The 13266-nt window shown below is 40.8% G+C and overlaps 1 protein-coding gene across 10 annotated transcripts in view, besides 1 other annotated feature; it reads right to left on the bottom strand.

Annotated features, from left to right (window-relative positions):
- Nucleotides 1–208: 208 nt before the first annotated feature.
- CNST (consortin, connexin sorting protein) overlaps nucleotides 209–13266 on the bottom strand; it is a 102140-nt gene continuing 89082 nt past the window's right edge. For all 10 annotated transcript variants that reach the window (XM_011544111.2, NM_152609.3, XM_011544112.2 and 7 more), the window contains 2 exons: nucleotides 8470–8605; nucleotides 209–3104 (listed from right to left, as the gene is read on the bottom strand). In XM_011544111.2, coding sequence (XP_011542413.1) covers nucleotides 2899–3104; nucleotides 8470–8605 — 342 coding nt within the window. In that variant the 3' untranslated portion in view covers nucleotides 209–2898. The remainder of the gene's footprint in view (nucleotides 3105–8469; nucleotides 8606–13266) is intronic.
- Nucleotides 2431–2631: a silencer, noted in NCBI's record as "peak817 fragment used in MPRA reporter construct". NCBI's record gives its function as "represses an SCP1 promoter by STARR-seq MPRAs in K562 erythroleukemia cells {active_cell/tissue: K562}" and the evidence as "EXISTENCE:reporter gene assay evidence [ECO:0000049][PMID:32103011]".

The raw sequence follows: 13266 nt of genomic DNA, 5'->3' as shown, positions 1-13266 counted from the left end.
CCGCCGTCTCTACAAAAAATACAAAAATCAGCCGGGCGCGGTGGCGCATGTCTGTAATCCTGGCTACTTGGGAGGCTGAGGCACGAGAATCACTTGAACCTGTGAGGCGGACGTTGCAGTTGGCAGACACTGCGCCACTGCACTCAAGCCTGGGCGACAGGGCGAAAAAACAGAATAGAACAAAACAAAAAAACAAAATAAGGCCCCCTTCAAATCTTAAATCCTCCAGAAGATTTTTATTTTTAAATCTAAAAGAATGAATGTTTAGAATAATCTTCAGCTACTGTCAGCAGATGGGGGAGGTATTTTAAAGCAGAAGAGCCGTTACCTAAGGACCTATTAGTCTTCCCAAAGTAGATGACTGTCTACTTGTAGGGCCAGATCAACTTCTGAAATCAAAGTTTCACTTTAAAGCAGTTTTTTCTCAGCACCCAATGGTTCAAATAAACTCTCTGAGACACTTTGTTGGTACAGATTTTAAATTACAAGCTTGATTTGATACCCTCAAATACAGTTCTTAAGGAAGATTAGTTACAAATAGTTGTCAGTACTTTCAAATGACAGAAAAAATTACATTTTAGTAAAACTGGATGAATTTTTCATGTGTGAAATAACAATCCTTTCACCACCAGGTGGAATTACTCCAGTTCATGCAATAGATAACTATGACATTTTTAAAAACTGCCCTAATTTTTCTAGTTGCGATTTCATGCCTATTGTAAGTCAAAACATCGTTATGTTCCCGAGCTCACCTCACCCTCCCTGGGAAGTGGCGAGGACACCCATGGTTTCTCTGAGACACCACTGGGCCCCTGCTTAGCAAGCTATTGTCTCAGTGCTTTCCTCTTGCTGCGAAGGTCCCCAGGAGATGTTGGGTTCAGAGGAAGTGGCTCTGGTTGCCTATGGGCAAATACTACACCAGAGGTTACACAGGATAGAGACCCAAGAGGTGAACAGGAGGGAAGTTTTAACTTATTTTGACATAAAATTGGCAAAAATAAGCATCACCAAATTTCTGTAACTAGAAATTGAGGATAAAACAGAGGAGGTTTGTCTATGATGAGGATGTCCATCACAGTAGAACTTGTGAATAGCTTTTATAGAACCACTTAATATAGTACCGTCAACATTTTACATATTTTACATACAATTTGAATACAAATTCTTAAAATTTATAATAGAACATTAAAATAATCTTCTAATAAAATCAGCCTTAAGTATAAGGAATCTAAATTTCATTATCTTGTACATTTCTAAATAAATATCTTTGATCTATAACCCTTGAAAATATTACAGTTTATGGTGACATGATAGAGACAAGTCAAACAGTATTATAAGTGAAAATGAAACATCAATTTAAAATGAACAAGTGTAAAAACACGCGGAACTGAAATTATAGAAAATCAAAACACTAAATACACAGTAATTAAATATCTAGCACTGGAATCACCAAATGCATGCGCAGTAACACACTTTCAACTGATATAAAAAGCCCTTTAAGATTCACATAATCTAAATAAATAAGCAGAAACACAAAGGGAGGTACTGTGCCAGCCAGTAACAACTAGAAAGTAAGTTCTCCCTTTTTCTTTCAAATGATCCTAACAGAAGACAGGAAATAAAGATCACTTGTTAAAAACTATAATTCATGTTTGGTTTTTCTTTGTTGTTTTTTTTTTAATGCTGCCCGATAAAGTCAAAGCAAGGCTTCCTAAATGTTAGACCACTACACCTCAGATAAGGAAAGGCCACCTAACGGACAGATTTAAACAAAAATCAGACATTTGTCTATGGAAGGTATGATTGAATTTTTGCGTAATGACCCCGCAATAGGATCTAAATCAAGCCCACAACAAGAATGCACATTCAAGCATCTGAATGCATGATCTGTTAATACTGAATTCTATATGGTGATTTCACTCAGCAAAGTACTGGTTTATTCTATATAAGACCAGGATTAAAACACCTACAGTGGGAACTGTATCTTACTTAAGTTTGCATTCTGGTTCTCAGAATCTCAGAACATAATAGGTGTAAGCGTTTGCCAAACTGAGTCCAGCATTCATGATTTCAGGAAGCTTTGCATCCGTGACAAAACTGTTGCCTGAGACTCAGGGGAGCTTTTTCTTTGGTCTCTAGGCCTGTGATTAATTTCTGGCTAATCAAGTTAATTGACACAGATCTGTCACAGTTTCTCATTGCAGGGTCAAGAGTTCTAGAATTCATCTATTCCACAGTTAAGCCTTCTCCAAAGATTTGTGCCTGCACATCATCATCAAGTTAAAAGAAGAAAGATCATCTTTGTGATGTTGGGTATTTGCTTATGTTAACTGCCGGAAGCACATGCGCACGCACACACACGCAAACACACAATCACTTCATAAGTGGAGAACAGAAGTGAAATAATACGCAAAGCCTAAATTACACAGCTCCCAAGTTAACTAAAGAATGACACTGAAACCATAAGGTAACTCCTTCTGATTACACACAAACTTATTGCGTGATGGCGGAAAGCAACTTCTATGACCCAACAAGTGTAAACCAAAAGTGTTCTTTAACCATTAGCTTGACAAGGTAGCTAAAAATAGTGTGGTTAAGACTACCCTGTTTAATTCTGCTCAGTGTACCTCATGACATTAGGAGGCAGTGAGGAGGAGATGGATATGCTCTCTCCAAAGACCATTCCTTCCATCCACAATGCTTAGATTGATATTTGCCTCACTGTGTGGATTATTCTAACAGAGTTCCTCCGGCTTGCCACTTAAAGTTGCTATTTCTGATGTCCTTGGTTCCTAACAGAGGGAAGGGGGAATGCTACAGAATTCCTGAAAGAAAAACTGTTTAGAAAGTCTCCCGCCTTTCACTCTCACTGCCAGCATGTCTGTGTCTGGAATGCTGCTAGGAGAGGTAGATCCAGTGCTTCAGTTCTGCCACTCCCTGAAGTAACTTAGTGTAATAGAAGTCCATGTTGTCTGCAAAGTCAGTACAAACAGGTGACTCCATGTCACCGAAAGTGCAGTATAATGCAGTTCCTCCAACACTGAGGAAAACCGTTGCTATGCACAGCAAGACCAGCAAAATACAGGAGCCACCTCCAACTTCATCTGCAAACATGAGAAAGAGTGAGGTTACATTGTCACCGAAATGGAAATCTTAGCATCTGCTGTCTTTTCACTAATTAAGATAACTACACATTTCTACTGTTGGTCCTCTACGGATAGGAAGTATTGACAGAAAACTCATGCTGCTAATGACTCTACAAAGACCTACCTATTAAATACCAAGAAGATTCAGACTTGTGGAGCTTGTACAAGCTAAAATTAAAACTAGCTCATTTATACAATGGACAGAATCACTCCATGAGAAGAAGAAAAACAGCTCACGTGCTCATAGCACGCATTAATGAATTCATTCATTTTTGTTTGTTTTTTAGAGACAGGGTCTCACTTTGTCACCCTGGCTGAAGTGCAGTGGCAAAATCTTGGCTCACTGCAGCCCTGACACCTGGGCTCAAGTAGTCCTCCTGCCTCAGCCTCCTGAGCAGCTAGGACTACAGGCCTGTGCCACCATGCCTGGCTATTTATTTTTTATTTTTTGGTAGAGATGGGGTCTCACTATGCTGCAGAGGGTGGTCTTGAACTCCTGGCCTCAAGTTATCTTCATGTCATGGCCTCTCAAAGTACTGGGATTACAGGTGTGAGCCAGCATGCCCACCCCGACAGCATTATTTGACAGTCTACAGTACAGCCTGGCTGTTCTAAGATCCTTGGGGTTCACATAATGGGACTACCTGAGAGCAAAGTCGACTTAATATTAAACAATAAAAATGCCTTTGGGTGGGATCTCTTTTGCATCTTTCTATATTGAAGAAAACAATCATTCTTTGGTTGAAAAATATCTTAATTATTCATAATTTAAAAAAAATTTTAATTTCAAAAAGACCAAAAAGTCTTCTGATCTGCAGCATGATTAAAGTGTAGGAATGCCTTTTTGGAAGGTAATTTGGCAGTATCTATTAAAATTTAAAATTAATTTATCCTACAGACTGGACAATTTTGAGAGTAAAAGACAGTGTTAAGGCTGGGTGTGGTGGCTCACGCCTGTAATCCCAGCACTTTGGGAGGCTGAGGCGGGCGGATCACGAGGTCAGGAGATCGAGACCATCCTGGCTGACACGGTGAAACCCCGTCTCTACTAAAAATATAAAAAATCAGCTGGGCGTGGTGGCAGGTGCCTATAGTCTCAGCTACTCAGGAGGCTGAGGCAGGAGAATGGCATGAACCTGGGAGGCGGAGGTTGCAGTGAGCTGAGATCACACCACTGCACTCCAGCCTGGGCCACAGGGCGAGACTCCTTCTCAAAAAAAAAAAAAGAAAAAAAGACAGTGTTAACTGAATGCAATTCCGGGACAACAGGTGTAAACCAGGACGGCCTCAGGCCACCTGGGACATATAGTTTCAACATATCCCAGCAAATCCACCTTTAAGAATTAGGCTACAGTTCTGCACAACAAATATCATATATACAAGCTTGTTCACTGCAGCAGGGTTTGTTATAACAAAAGGCTGGGAATAACTTAGTGGTTCTGGTTACAATGGAACAGTTAAACAATTATGGGACATTTATATAATGGAATATGATGTAAGTATTTAATAGAATGAAGTAAATTTAATATGTTCTTTCATTGAAGGATGTCTAAGACTCATGATTTAATTTTTACTTTATTAAACTGATTTTTTTCATAATTAGCATATATTTTTACAAGAAACAAATTTTACAAAACCTAATGGATACCAAATAGACTTTATTTAGAACATTGTGCAGTAATACATGAATATATTCTCCCTGTAAAAACGCAACCCCAAAAGCATCTTAGAGTCTAAGGGACTATCCGTTTTTCTCCCGCCCAATCATATTTCCTTCCCATCCCAGAGGTAAACACTGTTAAATTTGGTGTGTGTCATTTCAGATCAAACACGTATGATTTCAGGACTTACATCAAAATAGGATTAAAAAATTGTTTGCTCTGAAATTTACATTTTAAAATAGTTGTTTTTTTTTTTGAGACAGAGTCTTGTTCTTGTTGCCCAGGCTAGAGTGCAATGGTGTGATCTTGGCTCACTGCAACCTCTGCCTCCTGGGTTCAAGCAATTCTCCTGCCTCAGCCTCCTGGGTAGCTGAGATTACAGGCACCTGCCATCATGCCTGGCTACTTTTTGTATTGTTATAGAGATGGGGTTTCACCATATTGGCCAGGCTGGTCTCAAACTCCTGACCTCAGGTGATTTGCCCGCCTTGGCCTCCCAAAGTGCTGGGATTACAGGCATAAGCCACCACGCCCAGTCTAAAATAGTTTATACCTATGTATGAAAATATGTCTTTTATATAAATGAAGAAATAGGATCATATTAATCATGCTGTATTTTTTTGGACAGTTCGGTCTTGTCTTTCTTTTTTTTTTTTTTTTAGACATAGGGTTGTGCTCTGTCACCAGGCCACACTCACTGCAGCCTCAACCTCCTGGGCTCAAGCGATCCTCCCATCTCAGCCTCCCAAGTAGCTGGGACCAAAGGTGCACACACCACCATGCCCTGCTAATTTCTGTATTTTTTGTAGAGATGGGGTCTTGCCATGTTTGCCCAGGCTGGTCTCCAACTCCTGGCCTCGAGTGATCCAGGAGGAAGACTTGGGAGGAGGCTTCCCCAAGTGCTGGGATGACAGGTGTGAGCCACTGCACCATGCCTTACGTGCTTTTCTTAACATGATTCCTACCCCCACTTCATCTATGTTAACAACCTAAAGTATTTTTCTTCATTATCATATATTCAAATCCAAACATTTAAATATAGCTTAAATATGTAAAAGCATCTATGCTGTTTGTTTTATTTATATGTCCTAGACCTGTCTGAGCTGTACTGTCCGATGTGAGCCACAGGTGGCTGTTGGGCACTTGACATGTAGCTGGTCCAAACTGAGCGGCGATGAACACAGATTCTGAATACTTAGTGTGAAAAAAAGGATGTAAAATGTCTCACTAGTAATTTTTTCATATAGATCACATTTTGAAATAATTTTTATGTACTGGGTTAAATAAAATACATTCTTAAAATTCTGGCCAGGTGCGGTGGCTCACGCCTGTAATCCCAGCACTTTGGGAGGCCGAGGCAGGCAGATCACCTGAGGTCAGGAGTTCGAGACCAGCCTGGCCAACATGGTGAAACCCCCTGTCTCTACTAAAAGTACAAAAATTAGCCAGGCGTCGGGGAACATGCCTGTAATCCCAGCTACCTGGGAGGCTGAGGCAGAAGAATCGCTTGAACTCGGGAGGCGGAGGTTGCAGCGAGCCAAGATCGCACCACTGCACTCCAGCCGGGCGACAGAGTGAGATCCCGTCTCAAAAAAAATAAAATCAAATAAAAAATAAAATTCATCTCACCTGTTTCTTTTCACTTTAACATGGCTACTACAAAGCTGAAAATCATACATGTGCCTCACATTAATTTCCAGGGGATAGCATTGGCTTACAGAAGGAAGAACAGGCCCTTTTAGGAAGATTTTGGCAGAAGGTGAGGTTTATGAAAACACCGTGTAAGTCACAGAGCTTAGGAACAAACCAACACAATCAACATTTACATTTAGTTTTATAATTCTCAAAATGAATTTATACATATTATCTGACACGCTTTTCAATAGGGACAGAGAGGCAGATGTTATTCTCCTTATTTTAAAGATGATGGAACTCAGTCTCCTACAAGTAAGTGACTTAGTTTAAGATGAGGTGGCTACAAAGTGAAATGCAGACTGTGAGTTTCAAATCCGGGGTTCCTCCTATTAAGGAACGATTTGGTCAAATTAGTGCAAACAGAAGTGAGCACCTTATCTGGAGAAGACTGTGAGAGTTACAAGCAAGGTGCAGAAGTAAAATCAGGGGTTAGGACATTATTTCTAAGGCCCCCTAACCAGCTTTCTAATTGTAAAAATGCAGAAACCTCTACTGTTATCACTTATGTCACACCCAGAAAGCATACCTAAATATTTACACTGTTATTTTAACAATGCAGTTGTTTTATGAATATGAGAAGCCCACTGACAGGTTCTGGGTTACCTTTCCATTTACTCTTATTTACTTACACCTTAGATAAACATATTTGCAACCATAAAAGGCAGCATTGTTCACTACAAAACTCACCACCTCATGTTAGACCAAGTCAGGGCCTTAAGTTTGACAGGCCCAGGACGAAGAAGTCAAACAGCAGCAATGGTGTAAAACTGCTGCTCTCGAGAGACACTCTTTTCTATCAATGAAGAGGAAATCACTGAAGAGAATATTCATAAATATTTTCCACAATAAAGGAGGAGTATTAATTGTCCACTGAAAAGAAGACAAGCCGGGCATGGTGGCTCATGCCTGTAATCCCAGCACTTTGGGAGGCCGAGGTGGGTGGATCACTTGAAGCCAGGAGTTCGAGACTAGCCTGGCCAACATGGCAAAACCTCATCTCTACTAAAAATACAGAAAACTAGCCAGGGCCTGGTGCGGTGGCTCACACCTGTAATCCTAGCACTTTGGGAGGCCAAGGCAGGCAGATCCTAACCTCATGAGGTTAGGAGTTTGAGACCAGCCTGACCAACATGGTGAAACCCCGTCTCCACTAAAAATACAAAAATTAGCCGGGCGTGGTGGCATGTGCCTGTAAGCCCAGCTACTCAGGAGGCTGAGGCAGGAGAATTGCTTGAACCTGGGAGGTGGAGGTTGAGGTTGCAGTGATTTGCGCCACTGCAATCCAGCCTGGGTGACAGAGCAAGACCGTCTTAAAAAAAAAACAAAAAAACAACAAAAGACAAAAATAGCAGACTCACACAAAAAGTACTAAAGAGGGAAACTGAACTAAGCTCTCAACATTAACTGTCTATGGAACAGGGAGGCCACAAGTTGAATTTTGCAGCTTGCTCACTTATTTAAGCAAGTAAAGATTTAGAAATGATTTAAGATGATAGTTGGATTTTATATGTTTCTCCCTTAGAAGATAAAGCAACTAAACTGACATATTCTTTTATTTACTTATTTATATTTATTTTTTGAGATGGAGCCTCGCTCTGCCACCTAGGCTGAAGTGCAGTGGCACGCTCTTGGCTCACTGTAACCTGTCTCCCGGGTTCAAGCGATTCTCCTGCTTCAGTCTCCTGAGTAGCTGGGATTACAGGCGCGTACCCCCACACTCGCTAATTTTTCTAATTTTAGTGGACACAGGGTTTTGTCATGTTGGTCAGGCTTGTCTCGAACTCCTGATTTCAAGTGATCTGCCCGCCTGAGCCTCCTAAAGTGCTGGGATTACAGGTGTGAGCCACCGTGCCTGGCGGACATAGTCTTTTACAAATCCTGTTAGTAAACGTCACATCATTCACAAACTCATCCTTTCAGCAAACACTGAGCATCTATCCTGCTAGCCACAGTGCCAAGCGGTTTACCTTGATCCAAGCTATCGTCTATTTCTTGGAATCTCACTCTTCGCTTAGATGGTTTGTGTTGCATTTGGGCAGGATGATCTCCTACAGTATCATTCCTCTTCTTTAATATGGAGACCAATCCTTCAGTAGGAACAACCTGTCAGAAATTATAAGAACCTATAATTCTTTTATTAAGGCGGGACATCTCTACATGTAGCTATAAAAAGGCTCATTCAACAGATATTTGAATTTTTATTACAGGGGTATCCAATTCCTATAGAAAAAAATAACATCAAAATCTAACAGAATAAAACTTTCACTTCTCTGCAGATGACTGAGAAACACAAAAGTCCAAAACCCTGGTTTCCTTTTTTAACCCCTGAACTCACTCCGGGGACAGGCAGCATGACGTGTTCAGTCGACTGGAAATCAGAACACCTTGCTTTGTAGCTTAACTTCCCTGTTATCGGTAAAATGATCACTCACAGTCCCCTCTTTGCTTCGTCATTAGCACTGGGTTTTGCTTTATAATAAATGCTTATAATCCTCCACTGCTTTTTTCATTCATCAGCAATTTTAAACAAATGAACATATGAAGCTTAAAATATATTTAGATACCAAGCTTTTAACATTAAAGTGTTGTCCTCAGTTTCTCTGAGAAACTACGCATTTACTAAATAATGCTCTACTGCTCACAATATTTTAAGGACTTCCAGAATTTCTCTCAGAGCCAGTTTACTAGGGACATTTTTTTTTTTTTTGAGACAGAGTCTTGCTCTGTCGCCCAGGCTGGAGTGCAGTGGCGCGATCTCGGCTCACTGCAATCTCCGCCTCCCGGGTTCATGCCGTTCTCCTGCCTCAGCCTCCGGGGTAGCTGGGACTACAGGCACCCGCCACCATGCTCGGCTAATTTTTTTGTATTTTCAGTAGAGACGGGGTTTCACCGAGTTAGCCAGGATGGTCTCGATCTCCTGACCTCGTGATCTGCCCGCCTTGGCCTCCCAAAGTGCTGGGATTACAGGTGTGAGCCACCGCACCCGGCCTGGGACATATTACTTTCTAGTATGCAGAGGTTGGCAAACTATGGCCCACAGGCCAAAGGCCAGTGCTGCCTACTTTTGTGAATATAATTTAATTGGAACACAGCTGAGCCGATTCATCTGAACACTGTGCACAGCTGCTTCTGGGCTACAATGGCACTGTGCGGTTCTAAGAGATCATAGAGCCTAAAATATTAGTAATTTGGCCTTTCCTAGAAAAAGTCTGCTGCCTAATATCTCTTCAGACACCCACCCCACCCCTTTATATGTTGCCTTCTAGCTCTTTCACTTGGGCTGCCTCTCTCCTGCCTATGTTCCACCCCTTATTTAGAAACAAAACCAAAAACCCTCGCCATTTAGGAGCTAACAGACTCCAAGGTGCAGGAAGAAGGAAGAGGAGCAGGTGGGAGAGCCAGGCTGGGAAGCAGGAGGCCTTGCCGAAGGCCCCTGAACAGCAGGGCCAGTCACAGAAGTTAACTTGTTAGTTGCCTGATTGCTACAAGCTGTAGGTGATGACACAGGCAGGCACTGTGGGCCTAACACCGAAGATGTCAGTGACTTGCTGGCATCAGGCCAGTGACTTGCTGGCATCAGTGACTTGCTGGCCTCAGTGACTAAGCTGAGGATGGCCTCTAATGTCATTTATCTAATCAATAGCATAAAACACTAAATATGACTTGCAGTTCCAGCCAGCCATCTTCGATAATGCGCTATGCATAAATATTACAGATTCGATTAGTTCTTTTTATATCTTAGGGCTTTTAGGGCCAAATAGACCAAGATAGTCTTTGACTATGCTTCCCTGAATGTGGGTCTATAGAAACCATTATCTCAAAAAAAAAATCAACAAGCCAACAATATATTCTTTTCTTTTTATAGGAAATAATGTATTTCAGAAGTCCTTGTTCTGAGAAAACAGAAGTACTTTAGTGGCCTTGAAATGGTAAAGTACAAATATATGAAGAAAGCAACATCGTCATTAAAGAACTCCCTCACACAACAGAGAAAACAGGTTTTATAAGCACCTTGCTGACACTGAGAGGGAAACAGTCTTAACCAGTTTGTAAAGAGCAAAAGATGGAAAACAAGAATTAATTTTCATGAATACATTACTACTAAAGATGTATCATTGATATTCTTTTAATTTTTAGTACATGTAAAAAAAAGGAGAGGATCTTGAATCTGGCTGTTCTAAAATTTTTCCAAAAATTTTAAAAGCGGGGAGGAAGTTTATTGATTCCTTCACGATCTATTTTCTCCATAAAATACTGTCATACACTTACCAATGGTGAATTCACCTACCACAGGGATTTTCAAGGTGCCGTTTTAACTACTTAGAAAAAACAACCCTATTAAGAATAGTTTTAAAGATGAGCCCCAGAGTTGTGTTGCTCTTAATTGATCTTTCTGATATGAATTCTGCATCTATAAATTCAAGAAACGGATACAAGCCATAAATCAAAAGACAATGCAAATAGGAACAAACATGTTGACAGAGGAAGAGAAGCTCCTGAAATCATCTGGAAAGGCACAGAATGAGCCAACTGAACCTAGAGCTGGTCCTAGTGCAGCGGCTGTGAGGTCCCTGCCTTAGCTCCTGCTCAGCCTCAACCAGGGAGGGTGGTGTTTGGCTGTGGAAGTCAACACTAAGGGATACAAGCCTTGTCAGGTGGTCCCACCTTATTTACTATGGGTGGCAATGAACTCTGGCAACTTTTTCTGAATTCTTTTTAAAGATGGGAGAAGCAGAGTATGAGAAATTACAATTGTGTGGGATGGGCTAACATTTTTGACACCCCCTCCGTCACAATACCTTAATTCTTGCTAAAAATCGAACCACGCCTTTTTTTTCTGCCACCAAAACCCTTTTGTTTCAGCAGGGCCTGCCCCAGTGTCTGAAGTGAAGGAGTCTGCTCTTTTCCATCATTTCCTTTCAGTTCTTGCTCAGTGATCTTCTCTAGGTCTTTCTGTTGTAACTGTCTTCTGATTCTACAGCCTACAGATGGAGAACAAGGGACGGTGGGCCAAGCTTATGCATAAGAGATGCAGGCCAAGGAGGCACTCTCAGGTGGGAGTGGCGGACAGCATCGAGCCTTTCTATTTTTGCGAGAGTTTTGGGCGCAGTTCAGATCTACCTGTAACAGAATTTTTTCTTACCACTTCAGGGCAGTCCAACATAAAGATCTTAAGAAACAAGTTTGGTGGGGTTTGCCTCAATTTCATACTTGAAGGGCAAGTAAGACAAAACAAAGTCATGGTCTCGGTTTGGGGTCTCACTCAAAAGACTGACAAGTGTTTCTAAAATACACTGGGCTGCTGATTTAGGGCATAGAGCAATGTGTTCCCTCCAAACTATTATTTTGTTTTGTTTTTGTCTGTTTTTTTTGAGAGAGGGTCGCACTCTGTTGCCCAGGCTGGAGTGCAGTGGCATGCTGACAGCTCGCTGCAGCCTCAACCTCCTAGGCTCAAGCAATCCTCCCACCTTAGCCTCCTGTAGCTGGGACTACAGGCACACGCCACCATGCCTGGCTAATGTTTTTGGCATTCTTTTGTGGAGACAGGGTTTTGCTGTGTTGCCCAGGCTGGTCTCGAACTCCTGGGCTCAAGCAACCCAAAGCACCAGGATTACAGATTTGCGCCACTGTGCCCGGCCCCAGACTATTCTTAAAAATATTTCCATTGTTTTTAAAACTATAGTGTCAGTATTAAAAGGTGAAGAATTTTTAAATCTCAAAAAATAAAGCCTTAAAACTAAATTTAGTTTCCCACTTCAATTGCCAAATTCTTACCCAAACAAATATACCAAGCCCTTCTATTGAGACCAAAAAGAATGTCTGAGCTATAATTAATGTAATTGTTACGGGTGGTGCTCTATGAATAAATGCAGAATTAAAAAAAATTCCATCTGGCCCAGTCTTCTGTATTTGCAAATAAATAGTTCTTCCCACACTTCCCCTCAAATATCAGTGACCACCTTAAATAGCATTTTCAGAATGAACTAGTTGTGAAAACAAAATTATTCGCAACTCTTCTGGAATAGTGAATCCTAATGTGACAAGAAAAATATTCAGAGACACACTGCTGTTGGAAGTGCCTCCTCACAAAATTAAAGAAGAAAACAGATACCAAGTCACATTCTTTTAATGATATAGGTTTCACTCAATTCAGAACCTCTAGGTTGGTCAATTCTGAACAAGAACACACAGTTGGCTTCCAACTGATTTGAGAATTAACATTCATAAATCATATTATTATAGTATATGACAAATAACTTAAGTGCCAGCAATTTCACTATAGTGGCACATGTCAAATTTACTGCTACTATTCCTAACTACAGAAACAAGTGATATTCTCTGCCCGCTTCTTTAGTGTTGGGTTCCATAATAACAACTATAATTTAGTAAATGTGTACATTTTATGTAACGATATTTACATACTATATCATATTTAATTTTCACAACTCTCTTTTAGAAGCCTTATCAGCCCCATTTTGCAGACGAAGAGGCCAAGCTTCAAGGGCTTGAGTAACTTGCTTAAGCTTGCAGTGCCAGTAGCTGGTAGAGTTTGAAAACAAATTCAGTATCAAACCTCTTGCCAGTTCCTTAATGTGAAAATATCTTATTTTCTATGACTATTAAAATGTTGCTTTATGCCATATGCTATAATATATATTACAATTAAAACAAGATTAATAGAACTTTCAAATAAGACTCTAGCAAAAATTCTTATCTTACACATCACCTCATTTATGAGATACTTAAACTAATGGCCAAATTTG

This window comes from Homo sapiens, chromosome 1 (assembly GCF_000001405.40).
Source record: "Homo sapiens chromosome 1, GRCh38.p14 Primary Assembly".
NCBI lineage: Eukaryota > Metazoa > Chordata > Mammalia > Primates > Hominidae > Homo > Homo sapiens.
Note: the sequence above shows the minus strand (reverse complement) of the source record. Positions and strands in the feature narration are given on the sequence as shown.